This window comes from Homo sapiens, chromosome 4 (genome assembly GCF_000001405.40).
Source record: "Homo sapiens chromosome 4, GRCh38.p14 Primary Assembly".
Taxonomy (NCBI): Eukaryota; Metazoa; Chordata; class Mammalia; order Primates; family Hominidae; genus Homo; species Homo sapiens.
This window is the reverse complement of record NC_000004.12, coordinates 139,669,146-139,691,089: the sequence shown is the minus strand read 5'-3', so window position 1 is coordinate 139,691,089 and position 21,944 is coordinate 139,669,146. Positions and strand designations below refer to the sequence as shown.

Below are 21,944 nucleotides of genomic sequence, written 5' to 3'. Positions count from 1 at the left end.
TGCTCCTTTGATATTGAAGCTTCCCATGAACGCTATCTTGGTTTGCCTGGGACTGAGGAATTTAGGGGGACATGGAGCTTTAAGTGCTAAAACTGGGTAAGACCCAGAAGAACTGGAAAGAGTCTGGTGGGCACTGTGGAGATTGAGTAGTTAAAGCTGCTGAGACCCCTTGTTGTTCATCCCAGTACCATGGAGCCTGGGCCCTGGGGGCTCAGGACTACTGCACATTCCCACCTGGATCTGGTAACCAGGAGCAGTAAGGATGGCCCAAACTAAGTGCTATTTGGGCCTTGTCTCAGTCAATAAGTATACTACAAAGTTTATGTTATTTGGGGGTGGGAAAAAGAATCAAACTGTGGCCTGGCAGCTCCAAATGTGGCAGTTCCTTCAACACTAGTCTCCAAACTTTTCTGATTGCATAGCTCTAACAGTTGCACAGCCCCATAAAAATATGCACACATCCTCCTGCAGCAGAGGAGGCCCACACCCAGGAGCTCCCACATAGGACCAGACTTGAGCAAGACATGAACTTCCACTGTGTTAAACCATGGAGAATCTGGGATTTATCCATTAGCACAGCTAATACATTCAACTGGAAAAGAATATCATATTCATTATAAAACAAACATCATAAAAATTAAAGGATGGGGGATCAGGAAGCTGGTTCACACCTGTAATCCCGGGCCTTTGGGAGGCAGAGACAGAAGGATCATTTGAGCCAGGAGTTTGAGACCAGCCTGGGCAACACAGTGAGACCTCATCTCTATAAAAAAATAAAATTTTTTTAAAAAAATTTAAGGCCAGGAGCGGTGGCTCACACCTGTAATCCTAGCAGTTTGGGAGGCCGAGGCAGGTGGATCACTTGAGGTCAGGAGTTCAAGACCAGCCTGGACAATATGGTGAAACCCTGACTCTATTACAAATACAAAAATTAACTGAGCATGGTGGTGCGTGCCTGTAGTCCCAGCTACTCAGGAGGCTGAGGCAGAAGAATCGCTTGAACCCAGGAGGCGGAGGCTGCAGTGAGCCAAGATCGCACCACTGCACTCCAGCCTGGGCAACAGAGCAAGGCTCTGTCTCAAAAAAAATTTTTTTTAATTAAAGGATAGGATTTTAAGAATAAGTATAAACAGATGCTCCAATATTTTCCTCACCCTCACAGTGGATTACTTAGTGTATTCCTTCAATGTGGGCACATCACTTGGGAGACTTCTGGCCTAAAACTTTTTATGAATATTTCTCTATTTGACCGTGTCCAACGAACACAATATGCAACTTTGCTTGCAACAACTTTGTTCAGAAAATATGAAACATTCTCCTAAGGAAAACCTCATGAGCCATTTCTAATGCCAGGTTCACAGTAGATCTTTTTCTAAATAAAAACAGACAAAGCAATTCAAAGGAAGTTTGCTTCTTGCAGGTTTTCTGTTTGCTTCTGATTTTTTCTCTTCTTGTTTAGGTGACTCATCCTGAACCAGTGGGCTGTACACTGCCATGAGCCATTTGCACTCTGAATGGATGACCCGGCCTTGGTCTTCTGACTTTGGACCCTGGGCGGTCTTTTGGATGATTACACTGACTGGGATCAGAGCAACAGGTTAATATGCTCAGAAAAGGCTTGGGGATGAGAGGTTGCTGGAGTTAATCTTTTTATAAAGACGTGTAACTGTCTAAATTGCTCCTTGTCAAGTAACTCTGAGTGGGACACAATAGGGAGGTGGCGGCTGGTGGCAGGAGAGCATGAGTCCCACCACTGCCCTTCAGTGGTGCTGCTTGTAGGGAACACAAAGAGCATGCAGGGAAAGGAGATTTGCAGTTCCTCCACCTCCCAGCTCCCTCTTGTCCCCTGACCACCTGGAGAATCTCCCGGATTATGTGACAGATGCTGCTTGGTATTGGTAAGGACACTGGAGTTTGAGGAGCTCATCACACAGAGTCACTCTGTCATTTTGGGAGATCCCTTTTTTTTTTTTTTTTTTTTTTGAGATGGCGTCTCACTCTGTCACCCAGGCTGGAGTGCAGTGGTGTGATCTCAGCTCACTGCAACCTCCGCCTCCTGGGTTCAAATGATTCTCCTGCCTCAGCTCCCAAGTAGCTGGGATTACAGGCATGTGCCACCACGCCCAGCTAATTTTTGTAATTTTTAGTAGAGACGAGGTTTCATCACGTTGGCCAGGCTGGTCCTGAACTCCTGACCTCAAGTGATCCACCCACCTTGGCCTCCCAAAGTGCTGTGATTACAGGCACGGGCCACTGCGCCCAGCCCCCAGCCCTTTATAATAATTCAGTGGATAAGGGCATCTAGTGCTTTCTGCTATTGTCCATGATGGTTACACTTGTAAGAAAACAGGAATATGTTTACTGTCTCTTTTTTTTCCACTTATTACAAAAGCCAGTTGCCCACATTACTGTAATCTTATAGTTGCACAATACCTGAAAAATCACTATTCTTGTAAATTTTCTTTTTCTCCATAGTTTTTAGACATGCATTAAGGTCACTAGTTTTAATTTCCAAATTTCAGAATCAGAATTCAAAATGACATTAAAAAGTTAATAAAATGTAAAAAAAAAAAATACAGAATCACAGTAGAATGAGAAGAGGCTAATATTTCTAAAGGGTACCGAGATTCACGATGATCAGGCTTACCTGTGCCTTGTGGCAGGTTAATTTTGGAACAGGAACTGAATAATTCAGCATTAAGCAAATAGGAGTGCATTCACAAGAACTAAGAAGCAATTCTTCTGTCTTAACCAGCACCAAAGAAACCATTATTAGTATACTAGATATACATCTAGACTCCAGGTTTAGAAATAATATTAAAAATTTTTGTCTAAAGAGAACCAAAATTTCTAAATGGTTGGAGAAAAAAAGCTGAAGAATTAGTGCTCCCTAGCCTCAAAATCCAGAAGATGAAAGATGCTTAATAATGGTCTTTCAGCACATGAAAAGGAGTGAGGTCAGCAGCTATTCTCCCCTTCCAGTGAAGGTAGAATCAGAGGAAATGTATTTAAATTGCAAGAAAATCAATTTATTACTTGGATCTACTTTTTAGATTTTATAAAATGACTTTACTCTAAAGGGATCAAGGTGCTCAGATTAGATGAGATAGAATTTTCTAAATTCAGTAATAACGTAAAGGAATGGTCCTTGGTGAAATTATAGTTGCTATTTTCACAATTTTAAAAAATGTATTCTGGCAAAAGACGGCAAGACTCTAGAGACTGTCATCTGTAAGTCCTCTCCTGTAAGGAAGGGAAGAGGAAGTGAATGGAGATTTTAAGGAGCCCAGGGCTAGTAACTCAGAAAGGCTGGACTCCATATCAGCTCTGGTCACAAATAGATACCCACCCTGAGATGACCTTCCAACAAGAAACAGTCCTTTAGGATCAGTGAACCTTGAAGTGACGCTGATGAGATGTCCAGGTCCACCTAAAGATAGAATTAGTCATAACTTTGGGCTTCTTGGCTATGCTGAGGGCAAAATCAGCAGGAGAAAAGGGTAGGGAAAAGGCTGGACCTCTAAGCTCTAAGTCCTTCCAAAGAGGCAAAGGGAAACCAGTGCTTCTGGTCCAGGAGAGCCAGAAAAGACAGTGCATTCCTCCTCCAGGGAAAAAAACAGATAACCAAGTAGGCTTTGGACTGAACTGGTTATCCCAGGGAATTCTGCTCTAACTACTTCAGATAAAGTCTAAATGGCTTTGCAAGCAATGACTCTTGATTTGGTTTGGCCCGATTTATCCTACGCCTTAGAATCTAAGGCAAAAATTGGGCTAGGGCTGGGAAAATTCAAGAAGAAATTCAAAGTATGGAGTGGAGCCATCCCCATTCACTCTTCAGTGAGAAACCAGGGGAACAACTACTGTGTTGTTGCTCAAAGTATTTCCTGGCTCCAAATCTGTCCTGATTATTGATCGTCATTTTTTAACTACTCTCTGTTCTACCATGATTAATCCAACAAAGCAAAACATCTCTAACAAGGAAACTGGGTTTGTATACAGTACTTACTTTATAAATAGTAACTTGAGAGAAATACTTGGAAATGGTGTTCAGTTTTATTCCTGGGACAAGAGGATTCCAGATATAGAAGAGGAGGGAGAGCAAAATAACTTCAAAGAAAGTCAAATTTGTGGAAACTATGAGAATAAAAATAGAACCAAGAAGTGGCCCAGGGACTTAGCCTCCTTGATACCCAGTAGTTCCCAACAAGTTTTCAGATCATGAAAGACAAAGTGGGAAGATCCGGAATTTCCTCCCGTGATGATTTTTATAAATAGCATAGTGTCTCCCAAACTTCAAGCATTAATCTAACACTGTGAAAGTTTTAGCCTTTTAATGTATCACTATCTTTCTACAAATCAGCTTTTTTGCTTAAATTAAGAAAAAATAAATTTTACATCATTACAAGAGCAGAAAGAGTGTAGCTTTCTAAATAAAGGTTAAGTATAAAAATAAATCCAATGAAAGCAAAAAGTTACTAAATTCTAGTTAGATACTAATGATTGCTGACGGCTCTGACCATGAGATTCTTTCTCTGTTGAATAGGGTGTAAACCAAAAATTAAATTCTAAGGCCCCCCAACCATCTGAATGGACTTCCTCCTCAGCCAGGGCTCTTTTAAAAATTTAACCTGAGAGGCTGTTTCAGGCCATGATGGAAAGTGAGAGTCAGACATACCCCCTTATACCTCTTCAGCATTCACAGCAACACAGACTTTAAGGCTGATAAGAAACGTTTTACAAACTATTCTCTCTGAAGCCTACCATCTGAAGGCTTCCTCTGCAAACAAGAACTTTGGTCTCCATAATCCTTTATCTTAACCCAGACATTCCCTTCTGTTGATCCCAGGTCTTTAGATAAACTCAACCAGTTGTCAACCAGGAAAAATTTTAAATCTACCTATAAGCTGGAAGCCCCCTGCTCCCACCCCACCACACTTCACATTGTCCCACTTTTCTGGACAAAACCAATGTATTTCTTAAATGTATTTGATTGAAGTTTCATATCTCCCTAAAATGTATAACGCCAAGTTGCACCCCAAACAAACTGGGCACGTGTTCTCAGGACCTCCTGAGGGCTGTGGCATGGGCTATGATCACTCATATTTGGCTCAGAATAAATCTCTTCAGGCTGGGTGTGGTGGCTCATGCCTGTAATCCCAGCACTTTGGGAGGCCAAGGAGGGTGGATCACTTGAGGTCAGGACTTTGAGACCAGCCTGGCCAAGATGGTGAAACCCTGTCTCTACTAAAAATACAAAAATTAGCCGGGTGTGGTGGCACATGCCTGTAGTCCCAGCTACTGGGGAGGCTGAGGCAAGAGAATCGCTTGAACCCAGGAAGGGGAGGTTGCAGTGAGCCAAGATTGCGCCATTGCACTCCAGTATGGGCGACAGAGTGAGATTCTGTCTAAAAATAAATAAATACATACATAAATCTCTTTAAGTATTTTATAGAGTTTGACTCTTTTTGTTGACAAGGGAAAATGGGTGTGCACAGGATATCAAAAATGTATCATGATGACTTCCTGTTAAACATGGCAGATTGAACCCATGCTCATTTCTTCTCACTTCTGAAGCTTCACTAAAATGCTAGTTAAAGAAAAAAAAATAGATATGAGTAATCAAGAACAAAGAGAATGAGAGCAGACACAAGAGTAAAAGAGAGGAAGTGAGGGTAATCTGGCTGCAACATCTGTCACCCCATCAATTGCCAGGGTTGATTCGGCTGATCTGGCTGGCTAGGCGGGTGTTCCCTTCCTCCCTCCCCACTCCATGTGCGTCCCTCCCAAAGCTGCATGCTCAGTCAAAGAGGACGACCATCCTCCATAGAGGAGGACCAGTTTTCGGTCAAGGGTATATGAGTAGCTATGCTCCCCTGCTGGAACCTCCAAACAATCTCTCAAGAGTGGAAGAGAGCCATTAGCAAAATTCTGCGGGAAAGACAGCACATGGAGGAACAGTGGCTGGACTGGTAGAGTACAGAAAGCTGAAACCTATGTGCCTGCTGAAGGAAGAAGCAATGAAGACTGAGACCATCCTTACCCCAGAACCAAAAGAAGCTCAGGAATTGGGCACCCCAGGTACCTTAGAGGCCAAAGGCTGGAACTTAAGAGTGGTTGAAAAACTGAATAAGGAGGGCTTAGCTGCCCTCCACCTCTGCTTCCCACTCCTGAGCCCCAGCCTGCTCCCCATCACAGGAGGTGGGAGGCTTATTGCCTGGAGAAACAGAACCAGAGACTGTTAGGGACTTCAGGAATAATAGAGGGTGGGGGTAAAATTCTGTCCTGAAAACAGTCAGAATCTGCATGCTGCACACTGCACAGTCGAAAAACCTTCCTGTCTTTACTACTGCACTCTCAAAAGTCAGGCCTATTATCCTATCTCCACCCCTCTTTCCTTCAACCCCTGAAGGAGGTTTAAAGAGTTTTCTCTAGAGAAACTAAGTGGTACCAGAAAGATGACCTACAGATACTTTGAGGGTTCTCCAGAAGAAAGCTGCCTCCTGACCAATCATAAGCCCCAGCCATGCACATGGAGCTTCCACGTCACTCTCTAATGCCTCTTTCTTAACAGCCAGTTGAGAATTATTAATACCAGATGTTTGGGTAAAACCTCTAAGATCTCCTTTATTCAGATCTCTCTGCAGGACCCTTGTCATCATCTTGACCTCCTGATGCCATCAGGGCTCAGTCCTCTTTTGTTCTTTACCTACTGATATGGTTTGGCTGTGTCCCCACCCCAGTCTCATCTTGAATTCCCACGTGTTGTAGGAGGGACCTGGTGGGAGGTAATTGAATCATGGAGGCAAGTCTTTCCCATGCTATTCTTGTGACAGTGAATATGTCTCACAAGATCTGATGGTTTTAGGCCGGGTACGGTGGTTCATACCTGTAATCCCAGCACTTTGGGAGGCCAAGGCAGTCAGATCACCTGAGTTTAGGCATTCAAGACCAGCCCAGTCAACATGGTGAAACCCTGTCTCCATTAAAAATACAAAAAATTAGCTAGGCATGGTGGCAGGCACCTGTAGTCCCAGTACGCAGGAGGCTGAGGCACAAGAATTGCTTGAACCTGGGAGGCGGAGGTTGCAGTGAGCCAAGATTGTGGCCACTGCACTCCAGCCTGGGTGACAGGGTGAGACTCCATCTCAAAAAAAAAAAAAAAAAAAAAAACACAAAACTGATGGTTTTTAAAAGAGGCATTCCCCTGCACAAGCTCTCTCATTTTTTGCCTGCTGCCATCCATGTAAAATGTGACTTGCCTTTCTCCATGACTGTGAGGCTTCCCCAACCACATGGAACTGTAAGTCCAATTAAACCTCTTTGTTTTGTAAATTGCTCAGTCTCGGGTATGTCTTTATCAGCAGTGTGAAAACGGACTAATACACCTACACACACTCCCCTAAGTGATTTTATCCAGTCTCATGGCTGTAAATCATCTTCCTGTGCCAATGACCCCTGAATTTATATTTCCAGCTCAGCTCTCTCTCCTAAAATGCAGATTTGTTTATCCAGCTGCCTCTCTACTTGGAGGTGTAACCAACAATGTATTTGTCAGTTTATGATGCAATCATAAACAATCCAAATAGCTTAGTAGATCATAATGCTTAAGGCCTCTCCTTAAGTCACATCTCAAACACAACATGTCAAGACAGAACCTCCTAATACTTCCCCAAAACCAGTTCTCCTGCAGCCTTCTCCATCTCAGATCATCGCAAGGCCATCCTTTGGGATGGATGCTCAGGCCAATAATCCAAGAATCATTCTTGACTGTTCTCACACTTCACATTCATTATGTCAGAAAATTCTATGAGTCTACCCTCAAAATATATCCAGAACCTGACCACTTCCCATCATTTCACTGCTATCTCCCTGGCTCTAGCTGACAGAGACAGGAGACAGCCAAGGGTCCCTGGTGAAACCCCACCCTCAAGTCTAAAAAAGCTTGAAGGCTGAAAGCCTGGACTGCTGGTCCAGGATGAAACTTGCCACCCTGAGGGAGAACTGCCCCCGCTTGCCTGCCCTTTCCAAACTGATTCTTTCTGAATAAAGCCTGCATGCTCACTGGAGGAACAGGGTGGAGCCACAGGAAGTTCGAACCTTGTGCAGAGGGAGGAGCCTGGTCTCCAGCTCGTGGGTGGTGACCTGGAATTAATCTGCGAGGCAGGGGCCTGTGAGTAGGACCCCCTCCCGCTTTGTTGAGTTTCTTTTTTTTTTTTTCTTTTTTTCCTTTACATCCAATAAATTCTGCTCTACTCACCCTTCAATGTGTCAGCACGCCTAATCTTTCCTGGCCATGTGACAAGAACCCAGTTTTAGCTGAACTAAGGAGCAAAAATTCTGCAACACAGCCACCATCATCTCTTGCCTGGAATTCTAAATGCATTTTCTGCTTCTACCAATGCCTCTATACAGGCTCTTCTCAGCAAAGCAAACAGGATTCTCCTTTTAAAATATAAGATCATGTCACTCTTTTGCTTAAAACCCTGTCATGACTTTCCATTTCACTCAGAGAAAAGCCAAAGTCCCCTACAGTGGCCTTTAAGGCCCAGTGTGACCCAGCCGTCTATGACCTCTCTGAGTTGACCTCCTCCCACTCCCTGCCAGGCTCCCTGCAGCCCCCTAACCTCCTGACTAACCCACTGGGTGTATCCTCAGCTAAGGGCTTTTCTCTGACTATTGTCTCTGACCCAAGAGCTCTTTCTCTACATGTTCACAAATGCCACCTTCTCAGCGGGACCTACACCCATAGCTTTATTGTATATCACAGACCACCCAACTTACCCCCCAGGAACCCATCCCATACCCTCTTACAACGCTATCCTTTCTGTTTTTGTTTTTTTTTTTTTTAGCACCAATTACCTTCTAACATAATATATGATTTTCTCTTTCATTTTGAGTTGGGGTCTTTCGCTGTTGCCCAGGCTGGAGTATAGTGGCATGATCATAGCTCACTGAAGCCTTGAACTCCTGGGCTCAACCAATCCTCCAACCTCAGCCTCCCAAGTAGCTAGGACTGCAGGTATGTACCCACATGTGGCTAATTTTTTAATTTTTTTTTAATAGAGAGAGGGGGCTCTTGCTATGTTGCCCAGGCTGCTCTTGAACTTCTGGTCTCAAGCAGTTCTCCCGCCTGGGCCTACTGAGTCCCTGGGATTACAGGTGTGAGCTACTATGCCCAGCTTATATTATTTTCTTATAATATCATCTGCTTATTGTTTATTTTCTGGCTTCCTCAGCAAACTCCAAGAGGGCAAGGATTTTTGTGGGATTTGTTCATGGATCTAGGCCAAGCTATTATAACAATGCCCGGTACACAGAAGTGCTCAATAAATACTTAATGGGTAAATAATAAATACAAATGAAAGACAAAGGCCAAAAAAGACACAAAGATACTTGGAAGAAACAGAAATGTTACAGAGAATTTTTAAAATTATAATTAAAATCCTCAAATATAAGAGAATAAACTACATCAATGAAATAAAAAAGTGACGGTTTAACATCAGCACCAACAACTAAAAAGCAATCAGAGAATAAAAATAAGTTATTGGAAATTAAAATTATGATATCTCAAATTTCAGATAAAAAGTTAGAAGTTGAGGAAATTCCTCTGAAAGAACAAAAATCCAAAATTATGAAAACCTGAAGATAAAAGAAAACTAGAGGATCAGTCCTGGAGGTTAACACACAACTAGTATGCGTTTTAAGAATGAAAGAACAGAGAAAATGAAGGAGAGGAAATCTGGGGGAAGAAATAATATTAAAAAATATTCTGGGCCAGGAGTAGTGGCTAACACCTGTATTCCCAGCACTTTGGGAGGCTGAGGTGGGCAGATTGCTTGAGCCCAGATGTTTGAGACCAGACTGGGCAACATGGTGAAACCTTATCTCTACCAAAAAATACAAATATTAGCAGGGCATTGTAGCACAGATCTGTAGTCCTAGATACTCAGGAGGCAGAGGTAGGAGGATTGCCTGAGGCTGGCAGGTCAAGGCTGCAGTGAGGTGAGATTGTGCCACTGTACTTCAGCCAAGGCAACACTGAGACCCTGTCTCAAAACAAAAAAAAAATTCTAAAACAGAAGGACATGAGTTTTCAGGCTGTGAAAAGGCCTCACCTGGGGTTGAGCACAGTGAAGAAAAAGCCTCTCAACAAGCACAATGCTATTAACATCTCGGGACAGTAGGCCAGGCAAGATCCTGAAGCTTCCATAGTTTCCAAACAAAAGGTCCAGAATCAGAATAGCACAGAACATCTCAACAATATCAGTGGGAACTAGGAAGCCATGGAGCAAATTTTTTCAAAAACTCTAAGGGTAAGGATTTCTAATACAGAAATGCATTTAAACAAGCCATCCCTTAACTGTGAGGCAAGATAAAGGTGCATTTTCAGATATGTGAAGTCTCAAAACTTTACCAAACATTCACCCTTTCTCAGGAAGCTTCTGAAGGGTGCACTCCACTAAAAAGAGAGAGAAAACCAATAAACAGGAAAACAGGAGGTCCAGGAAATCCAAATCAGGACAGTATAAGGGAAATTTCTAGGATGGTGACAGGAAGTCCCAGGATAGCAGCTGTGCAGCAAGCACCAAGAGCATCCCGCAACTTGAAGCGAAAAGTGGAGGACTCAGGCAGAAATGACTCCAAGACAGAAAAATGTATTACTAGATTATCTAATGCATTTGAATGTAACGAAAGGAGATTTTCAGTTCTGCAGAAGATTTGGGCATGAAACTAAGCAAACAAAGAAATAAAGAGCAATTATTAACCCTAGGGAAAAAAAATTGCACAAGAAGGAAATGTAACCACAGTATACTATAAGGCCCTGCTTTCAACATTATTTTCTTAATCACAATAATTATAAACATTGGCTATTGATTTAACCTAACAGAGTGATATAATGTTACTGGAAGGATGAGGTAAGGAAAAGAAGAAGTAAAGGAGCATGAAATTATTTCTTCCATAAAAAGAAGCCAACTGACAATGTCTAAAATTTGTGAATCAATAAATAGCAGTGAAAGTATAATGTTTAGAAATACAGAAGTAAATACCCAAAGTAGTAATCAAAAAGGGTTATCTCTAGGGATAGAGGGAGAGGGGAGGTAGGGACAAGGAAGAGTTATTTGTTGTCATAAAACCTGTAATCCCACTTTATCTTCAGATCACGTACATAAATTACTTTGATAAAAATAAACATTAATTTTGAGGTGTGGGACATGCTGGCTCCAAACCAATACTTTCCACTTGACTTAACCATAAGGATTCAAAGATAATTGAAATGAGAATGACTTCTCATCATGTAGTTCAATGTTATTTAAAACCAAGTCTACACACCTCTTACAATTATCTCGTGTACTCCCGGTGGTATTCACCCCACGCTTTCAAGCCTAGGGAGTAGTCTGTAAAACCCTCCTTGGAGCAAGTGGATAATCAAGAGACCAATGTTATCATCTCAAGGACCAAGGCCTACCAAAATTGATTCAAGATGTAACAAAAAGCCTGCCTAGTCCAATAATCATTAAAGAATGCAAATCCCATAATTTAAAAATTTCCCACCAGAAAAACATTAGGCCCAGATTATTTTAAGGCAAGTTCTACACAACCTTGAAGGAACACACTCTTCCAACCTTATTAAAATTATCTGAGAAAGTAGAACAGGATGCTTCCTCCAACTCATTTGACACTAGGTTCATCTGTATCAAAATGAGACAAGAACCAGACAAGAAAGGCAAAGTGTAGGCCAATCTCACTTGTAAACATAAATGAAAAATCCCAAGATGGTAACAAAAGAACCCAATGATATATCAGTGGTGACGCATGAAATGTTTCTTAAAGCACGTATTTTGGGGGATGAAATATAAAGTACGCCCTAGCATTCCTGCAGCAGGCAAGTTCACGGTGTTTATGGTGGAACATTTTGTGTGGGTCTGAAAAAACAAGGAGCACAAGATGATCAAAAAACATGGCGCATGCATGTGAGCTGGCAAGCTTTCTCATTCTTACAGGTTTCTGATTTTAAGAAATGGTTCACAGAGAAACTGGCAAAAGATTAATCCTGATCTACCTCTGTTTTGAAGTAGGGAGGAAAAAATAAGATAGAAAATTGTAGCATAACGAATCCAACTTCAGACTATTGTGGTCTCACAAGGCTCCAGGGGGCCTCTTTGACCCAGTGACCCTCCTTGGGAGACACAGCAGTCCCTCCTGAGATCCCAGCCTTTTCTGTAAATATACCCTGCTGAATTGGTAATAGATGTGGGCAGAGACTTCATGCCCCGAACCCTTCAAACTTTCTGGATTCTGAGAACGGTCTTGGCTGTGAAGAGTGACTTGTTATAACTAGATATTGCACATGAACTTAGGGTCTTCTCCATATCCCTTTCCCCTAGTCAGGAATTGTGTCTGTATGGCAGGCACAGATCCATGAAGGGTGGAAGAAGCATTACTTACTGTGCCCGAAATACTCTCTCAAACTCTGGTGACCCAGTGACTGCTGGGGGCGTAACTTTGTATTTTAATCTTGCCTTTCCAACTTGCAAAGCAAAATAACCTGCAAGTAAAGGGAAATGTTGCGTTAAAGATGGGGCACGTCATTAGTCATTAGTGGAATGCAAATTTAAATCACAATTAGATAGTACTACATACCTATTACAATGTCTAAAATCAAAAAGACAGATGATAGCAATTAAAAAAGACAGGAGAGGATATGAGAGCAACTGAAACTTTCATACAATGCTGGTGGGAATGTAAAACGGTACAACCACTTTGAAAAACAGTTTGGAAGGGAGTCTTTTAGTTAGACATACCTCCAATGTATAACCCAGTCATTCCATTCATAGGTATTTCCCTAAGAGAAACAAAATTGTATGTCCATACTGTAGGGGCCAAAGCCCTTGGCCCCCTGGAGGTTCACTGAAAATCACTGACATGAGGCAGATTAATTAACAGACATTAAAAGAAAGATCACACACATTTATTTCATATGTATACATAGCAGCCTTCAGAACAAAGACCCCGCTCCACAGTGAGGTACAGAAGTTCATATGCCATCTTGAGGCTACAGAAATGTGAAAGGAAAATAAATCTCAGGACCCCAAAATCACTAAGCCAAGGGAAAAGTCAAGCTGAGAACTCCAGCAGGCAAACCTGCCTCCCATTTTAATTCCTAAATAAGATAGCTACAAAGCACAATTTGCCCACAAGGAAAAGCTTATCTTCACAGGTGCTGGACAGAAAGTCACCCTCTGCTCATCTGAGACAAACGCATATCTGATTGCTTATGTAAAAATGTGCCGATCACGGTGGCTCACGCCTGTAATCCCAGCACTTTGGGAGGCTGAGACGGGTGGATTACCCAAGGTCGGGAGTTCGAGACCAGCCTGACCAACATGGAGAAACCCTGTCTCTACTAAAAATACAAAAAATTTGCTGGACGTGGTGGTGCATGCCTGTAATCCCAGCTACTCAGGAGGCTAAGGCAGGATAATCACTTGAACCTGGGAGACAGAGGTTGCAGTGAGCCGAGATCATGCCATTGCACTCCAGCCTGGACAACAAGAGTGAAACTCTGTCTCAAAAAAAAAAAAAATGCAGATTCACTGAGCCAGACTAAATTGTGTATTCAGTGAAAGGCTTATCAAGGACTCAAAAGAATGTAACCTTTATCTCTTATCTATCTATGACCTGGAAGCCCCTGCTTTGATTTGTCCTGCCTTACCTAGACCAAACCAATGTACATGTTACACATACTGATTGATGTCTCATGTCCCTCTGAAATGTATAAAAGCAAGTTGTACCCTGACCATCTTGGGCACATGTCATCAGGACCTCCTGAGGCTATGTCACGGGCATGTCCTTTTATGTCACGGGCATGTCCTTAACCTTGACAAAATAAACTTTCTAAATTGGTTGAGACCTATCAGATATTTTGGGTTCACAGAAGCAATGCAGGCTCAGAACATGGCCAAAAAAACAGGTTATGGTGGTAAGTCAGGTTTTAGTGGCAAGACAGGATATGGGAGGGGAAGAAGAGGAGGCTCAGCTAGCCAAGGGAGTCATGTTATACAGACGAAATCTCACAGATAGCAGCCCCTTAGAGAAAATAGATGGTAAGTGTTTCTTCCAGATCTTTACAGGTGTCAGACTCCATTAATCTCTCCCAGATCTGGACAAGGGAAGGCCTTGCTGCATTCATGGAGATTCTCCACAATGCAAAGTTCCCCCACAAAAAACAGCTTTGCAGGGCCATTTGAAAATCTGTCAAAGAAATCTATCTTGGGTAAAATATTTTTATTTCCTTCAGTACAAAGAATTGTACACAAATATTCACAGCAGCTTTGTTTGTAACAGGAACAACTCTGTGATGGCTAATTTTATGCATCAGCTTGGCTAGCATACGGTGCCTAGTTGTTTGGTCAAACACCAGCCTAAATGTTGCTGTGAAGGTGTTTTTTTAGATGTGATTAATATTGAAATCAATTGACTTGGAGTAAAGCAGATTACCCTCCTTAATGTGGGTGGGCCTCATCCAATCAGTTGAAGGCCCTAGGAGGTAAGACTGAGGTCCCCCAAAGAGAAAGGACTTCTGCCTCCAGACTGCCTTCAACACCAGATTGTAACATCAACTTTTGCCTACCAGCCTTTCCTGCAGATTTCAGACTTGCCAGCCCCCACAACTGTGTGAGCCAATTCCTTAAAATAATTCTCCGTGTGTGTGTCTATGTGTGAGTGTGTGTATTGATTCTGTTTCTCTGGAGAACCCTGACTCACAAGAGTATCCATCAACAGGTGAGTAGATAAATAAATCATGATAGAGCCATACAATGGGATACTACTTAACAATAAGAAAAAGGAATAAACTATTGATACCCCCCAAAAATGAGTGAATCTCAAAATAATTATGCTGAATGAAAGCAAGGATTTTAAAAAAGAGTACTACTGAATAATTTCACTTATATAAAATTCTCAAAATGCAAATGAATCTATAGTGACATAAAGATTGCCTGGAGATGAGGAGGCCAGGAGGGAGGGGCCACTAAAGAGAGCAAAGACCACCTGGTGGCCATGAAGCCGACCATCCAGAGGCAGAACTCCTTATCTGAGGAGTTTAGAAATAATTGATCTTCCCTATATCTAAGGCCGGTTCCAGGCTTCTTTCCCCAAAATTTATATGTAACTAGACTTTCTCTACCTCTATACATCTCCGGAATGCATGCATGACAAAACTCATTGTGCAACCCTTGCTGACATTACGACACCAAAATGTCTACAAATGTAATCATTTATCATGACATATGTGGCTAATATGGACCAAATTACCCCTAAGCTCTTGCTTTAAGGTCCATAAATACCCCTAAGGAAAATCCTCCCCGGCGCGCTCAGTCCTCTCGCTGAGGCAGCCCGCTGCACTCTTCTGCAGCTTTCTCTCAATCTAATAAAACTTTCCTTTTCAAACCTATATTGTTGTCGGTAAATTCTTACTCCCTGTGGGCCAATCACTTTCCATTGCCAGGGCTCTGACACCTTGCCCAGCAGGTACAAGAAAACTTTGGGGATGATGGCTCCTACCTGCCGACGTTTCCCTGTTATAAAACAGTATGACTTTCTTCTCCTTTATTTCATTAGATAATCAACTCTGATGCCTGGGACCACCTTCATCTTGTGATGAGCTCTGTGGACTTCTTTCACTTCCACATCCATACTTCCTCCTCTGTCAGTTTTTGAGCCTTCAGTAGGTCTTGCCTCCTGTCCTTAACTTCCTCTTTTCACCCCATAATAAACTTCTGGCATGGAGACAGAGCAAGGAACACTCTTAGGGACCTGCTAGCCACCTCAAGCACGGAAATAAAAACTCTTGAGTTCCTTCAAGGGAAATTCCAAGCACCTTGCTATCCTTCAGTCCCGCTAAGCGAGAAGATAATAATAGTTTAAATAATAGTCACCCAAATAAGACAGAGTTACAAGACGTTCGGTTCCCTATAGAAACTAAAGACAACGTCTTCACATAAGTTCTTGAGTTGTTTCTCAGAAACCAGGACCTCCACCAGATGGAAAATGCTGACCACTGTCACACAGACCTCAGCTAAGCGGGAACTGAGGACTGAATTCTGACCACCATTCCCTGTTCTAAATTTCTTCCTGAGGGGCCTGCAGAGAATCACACACACGGGTTAAACCTCATGAAAGGAAAATAAATCTTAGGACCCCCAAATCACTAAGCCAAAGGGAAAAGTCAAGCTGGGAACTGCATTGGACAAACCTGCCTCCCATTCTATACCTAAATAAGATAGCTATAAAGATTTTGTTTTTTTAAGAGACAGAGTCTCATTCTGTCACCCAGGCTGGAGTGCAGTGGCATGATCTCAGCTCACTGCAACCTTCACCTCCTGGGTTCAAGCAATTCTCCTGCCTCAACCTCCTGAGTAGCTGGGATTACAGGCATGTGCCACCATGCCCAGCTAGTTTTTTGTATTTTTAGCAGAGATGGGGTTTCACCATGTTGGCCAGGCTGGTCTTGAACTCCTGACCTCAAGTGATCTACCCGCCTTAGCCTCCAAAAGTGCTGGGATTACAGAAGTGAGCCACTTTGCCTAGACACCAGATAAAAAAAGAAAAAAAAAAAAAACTACATAGCTCCCTCACAATTTACCCACAAGGAAATTCCTTGTGGACAAAGGACAGACAGAACTCAAAGTGATTCCTCTGCTCACTTGAGACAAATACATATCTGATTGCTTCCTTTGATTCAGTAAAAGGCTAATCAGAAACTCAAAAGAATGTCTCCTATCTACCTATGACCTGGATATAGACTTTGAGTTGTCTCGCCTTTCCGGACTGAACCAATGTACATCTGACATAAATGAATTGATGTCTCATGTCTCCCTAAAATGTATAAAACCAGGCTGTGCCCTGACCACCTTGGGCACATGTTGTCAGGAGCCCCTGAGGCTGTGTCACGGGCATGTCCTTAACCCTGGCAAAATAAATTTTCTAAATTGTCTCAGATACTTTTTAGCTTAGAACCTTAATATTTCTTTCTGCTGACCCAAGTTTTTAGACAAAGCCTTGCTCCCTTAACCAACTGCAAACCAAAGAATCTCTGAATCCACCTGTGGCCTGTAAGCCCCTGTGTCAAGATATCCTGCCTTTTGAGGCCAAACCAAGGTATAACCTCCATGTATTGATTTATTATCTTTCCTATACCTTCTGCTTTCCTGAAATATACCCCTGCCTTTAAAAACCCTTGCTTGGGCCAAGTCTGTTGGCTCACTCCTGTAATCCAGAATTTCAGGAGGCCAAGGTGGGAGGATCACTTGAGACTAGGAGTTCAAGACCAGCCTGGGCAACATGGTGTGACCCTATCTCAAATTTTAAAAACCCATTTAGGCATGGTGGTTCACACCTGTAATTCCAGCATTCTGGGAGGCCGAGGCAGGAGGACTGCTTGAGCCCAGGAGTTTGAGACCAGCCTGGACAACATAGTGAGAACCCATGTCTAGAAAATAAAAATACAAAAATTAACCAGGTGTGGTGATGGTGCACGCCTGTAGTTCCAGCTACTTAGGAGGCTGAGTAGGCAGGATCGCTTGAGCCTGGGAGGACAAGGCTGCAGTGAGCCAGGATCAATGCACTCCAGCCTGGGTGACAGAGCAAGACCCTGTTTCAAATAACAATAAAATAAATAAAATTTTAAAACCCTTGCCTGAAAGCCATTGGGGAGTTAGGGTCTTAAGCATTAGCTGCCCAGTTCTCCTTGCTTGGCACCCTGCAATCAATGCTTCCCTTTCTGTCACTGCAAATCCTGGTGCTTGTGTTTGTTTCTGTATGCTGGGTGAATGGACCCACGTTCAGTTGGGTTACAGTAACTATTATTTCGCTTCACATTATTTATTTCAGTTTTAGCTCCTTACCAGTTGTCTCCCCCACTATCTCCTTGTCTGACTTGTTTTAGTACCTCAATATCTGTTTCCTACCTGCTAATATTTTAAAAATGTTTCCTTTTAAAATTCCACACCAAGTGTATAGTTTGGGTCTCTCCCTGTGTTAAGAGTATTAGAGGCAATGTGTTTCCTACTGGAACAGGATATGATCTCCCCCTCTCACAAGAAGTCAATATTGATCCTGGTGTAGCAAGGGCTCTCAAAGCAGGCTCTTCCCTTCCACTAATCCCCTTCTGCTACAAATAAGCTGTTGTTTAGGATTTAAACATTGTCACTGAATATCTAAAGTGTGTAAATGCTGTCCGGGCCCAGTAGTAGCTCACGCCTGTAATCCCAACACTTTGGGAGGCTGAGGCTAGTGGATCACTTGAGGTCAGGAGTTTGAGACAAGCCCGGCCAACATGGTGAAACCCCGTCTCTACTAAAAATACAAAAATTAGCTGAGTTTGGTGGTGCACACCTGTAGTCCCAGCTACTCAGGAGGCTGAGACAGGAGATTTGCTGAAACCCAGGAGGCGGAGGTTGCAGTGAGCTGAGATCGCACCACTGTACTCCGAGTCAAAAAAAAAAAAAAAAGTGTGTAAATGCTTGGGATTGGAGTTTTCTCATTCATACTGCAGCCTGAGAGAGCAGAGTGAGGAGAAGGAATGTACAGATGGGCCCTGACTGTCTCCAACCCTGGGCTCCATCCCTCCAGGGCAGCATCAATCTGGAAAGGCCAATGACTCATGGGCTCAGCTAAAGGGATTTGTCCATTGAGGGGGAAATGAGGACTTGGCCACTCTGCACCTGCTATTACCATTGCTTCTAACATGCTTCACAGCCTTGCAGAAAATACTTGGCAAGTCTTCTTGTTTCCACCTATAAAATGGAAATAATGAAAGGTATGTGCTCCTAGACTTATGAATTAGTAATGCACAGGAGCCTAGAGCTTCAAAATGAGGCTGGGAGTAAGCAAGCCTTAAAAGTGCTATCTTTTCTTACGTTAATTGCACCCAATGGGCATCTGTTTGTGACACTAGCAAGTGTGAGGAATGAGCTTCAGTAAATGGAAGAGGTACTGAGATATCCCACCTACTCCCAGTCCAGCCCCAAGAAAGAGGATTCAGCTGGGCTCACCTCCAGCCCCAAGGGATAGAAGCCCTTCTGTTCTCTCAGGTGAGGGGCCTCAGAGAGACCATGGCTATTTTTGGAATAATATGATGAGAGTGGGGCCAGGTGCGGTAGTTCGTGCCTGTAATCCCAGCACTTTGGGAGGTTGAGGCGGGTGGATCACTTGAGGTCAGGTGATCAAGACCAGCCTGGCCCACACGGTGAAACCCCATCTCTACTAAAAATACAAAAATTAGCCAGGTGCAGTGTCGTGTGCCTGTAGTCCCAGATACTCAGGAGGCTGAGCCGGGAGAATCACTTGAACCTGGGAGGCAGAGGTTGCAGTGAGCCGAGATCACACCACTGCACTCCAGCCTGGGCCACAGAGTGAGACTCCCTCTCAAAAAAACAAAAAGAACAACAACAAAAATTAGCCGGGCATGGTGGCGCACCTGTAGTCCCAGCTACTCGGGAGGCTGAGGCAGGAGAATTGCTTGACCTTGGGAGGCAGAGGCTGCAGTTGAGCTGAGATCACACCACTGCACTCCAGCCCGGGCGACAGAGCAGTAGGTCTGAAAATATATATACGTATATATGATGAATATATGATGACAGTGGGGTGCTATTTCACCTCCTTTTCTGTAGAGTTTCAACTTTATTTCCCTTATGAGTTGATTAAAACCTCTAGATAATAATCTCCTTTTGCTTTGCCTGTCTTTCCTCTTTCCCTAGCTTTCTCCAGAGATACACATGTGCTGAGGAGAAACCAAAAATGAAATCCTAACCCCCAAACAACTGAACAGACCCACTCTTGGCCGAGGGAACCCCAGAGAGACCTGAAAAACTGAATTCCCTGCCGTGAGGGGAAGGGAGGTAGGACACACCTGGTTGTGCCCCCTCCCTTTTGGAGTTTAGGCACAACTGCCCAGGATTAAGGTTAAAATGGGGATCATAAGACTAACAAAGCCGGCTGCAGCAAGAAGACATCAAATTGTAGACAAGACCTAAGGCCTTACAAGGCAAGGGTTAAGTCACGCCCTACAAACCATCAAATCTCATTAGGCCAGTTCTTTTAAATTAACCCAGTATGTGGCTTACTTTCCAACTGACTCTGGTATAGCATCACATGACCTCTTTATCTTTTTTTTTTTTTTTTTGAGATAGGGTCTCACTCTCACCCAGTCTGGAGTGCAGTGGCATGATCTCGGCTCACTGCAACCCATGGACTCAAGCAATTCTCACACCTCAGCCTCCCAAGTGGCTGGGATTACAGGTGAGTGCCACAACACTCAGCTAATTTTTTGTATTTTTAATAGAGACAGCATTTCATCATGTTGCCCAGGCTGGTCTTGAACTCCTGGGCTTAAGTGATCTACCCACCTTGGTCACCCAAAGTGCTTGATTAAAGGCATGAACCACCACACCTGGCCACCCCTTCTCTTAATGTAAGCATTTCTTTGTGCTGAATTCAAGTCTTTAAACAAAGCTTTACTCCTTTAACAACTGCAAATCTGAGAATCTCTGAGTCCACTTATAATCTGTAAGCCCCCTGGCTTTAAGATATCCCACCTTTTGGGGCCGAACCAATAGATACCTTCCATGTATTGATTTATGTCTTTGCCTATAATTCCTGCCTCCTTAAAATGTATAAAACCAAACTGTAACCCAATTGCCTTGGGACCACCCACTGAAGGCTTCTTGGGTTTGTGTTTTCTCCGAGCCATGGTCACTCATATTGGCTCAGAATAAACCTCTTTAAAAGATTTCACAGAGTTTGGTATTTCTGTTAACCGCCCCCCCCCCGCCCCCCACCGAAGGAAATCAGAATATTACACCTCAAAATATGACTGAACTAAAGAAGCTGCCTCAAGGTCTTTGTGACCTCTCCACTGCCTCCTGTCTCAACCTGTGGTCTCTACCAAGGCACAGGATGCAGCTGGGCAGTCCTCTGAAACTCCCTTATCTACCTAGAAACCAGACCCCCTAAGACAAACACAATTGCCTGCCGTCTCCTCCCTCAGACCTCATTATCTCATGTGGAAAAGAAGACCGAGGAATGCACACACCTGGACGAACTTTCCCACCAGATTAAGCCTACCCCTCTGGCCAATCAAATTCCAGAGAATCATTGACAAGTTACTTTGTCTCCCAGTCCATTCATTCTCCCTAATAATTGTTTACTACCACTCAAAAGAATTGTCTGCATTCCCCATTTCCTCCCTCCCCTGTGAAGAATGGTATACAAACTGCTGTACCCCTTTGGATTATTGGGCAACCATTCTCTCATGCTGTGCATATTAAAATAAATTGTCACAGCCTTTCTCCTGTTAATCTGCCTTTTGTCAGTTGACGTTCAGTGAACCTTCAGAGGGTGAAGGGGAAGCTTTCTCTGCCCCTTACCCCCTGTGATGCCCACCCAGCCACAGCTGGGTACCTTCACCCTGTCTCTACCTCTCCATGCAGCAGAAACTTCTCTCTTCGAAGAAGGACCTTAGGATGGGAACTGACAGTGCTGAGCGCCTACATGGGGCCAGGAACTATGGTGGGATTTCCTCCCCAGCGTCCCATTAAACCCTCTTTGATGGTAACATTGAAGGGCAGTGTATCCTGAACGGGGACACCCAGCTGGGAAGTGGCTAGACCAACAGATACAGCTCTGTCTGTCTTCAAAACCTAAGCTGCTTCAACCATGGCACATGGTGTCCCGACTCCATGAACATCAGACTTGCAAAAGGAGCAAATTCTGGTTCCTAATGCCAGCTAAACAGTTGTGTCTTCCTCTCTCTGTCTCCCTCTTACACACTCTCTCTCTCCTTTGTAAACCAAAAATAAAATTCTAAGCCCCCCAACCATCTAAATGGAGTCCTCCTCTCAGCCAAGGGCATTCCAAAGTTAACCTAAAAAACGAGTTCAGGC

General features: G+C 43.4%; 1 protein-coding gene and 1 pseudogene across 8 annotated transcripts in view; one reads left to right on the top strand and one right to left on the bottom strand.

The window, feature by feature from the left end:
- Positions 1-21,944, bottom strand: part of MGST2 (microsomal glutathione S-transferase 2) — an 88,800-nt gene that overhangs the window by 63,529 nt on the left and 3,327 nt on the right. For 7 of the 8 annotated variants that reach the window (XM_017008211.3, XM_047415701.1, NM_001204366.2 and 4 more), the window contains exon 2: positions 12,448-12,547. The exons of the other annotated variant lie outside the window; for it this stretch is intronic. In XM_017008211.3, coding sequence (XP_016863700.1) covers positions 12,448-12,547 — 100 coding nt within the window. The remainder of the gene's footprint in view (positions 1-12,447; positions 12,548-21,944) is intronic. 8 annotated transcript variants of the gene reach the window in all.
- On the top strand, positions 5,663-5,902 carry RN7SKP237 (RN7SK pseudogene 237; annotated as a pseudogene).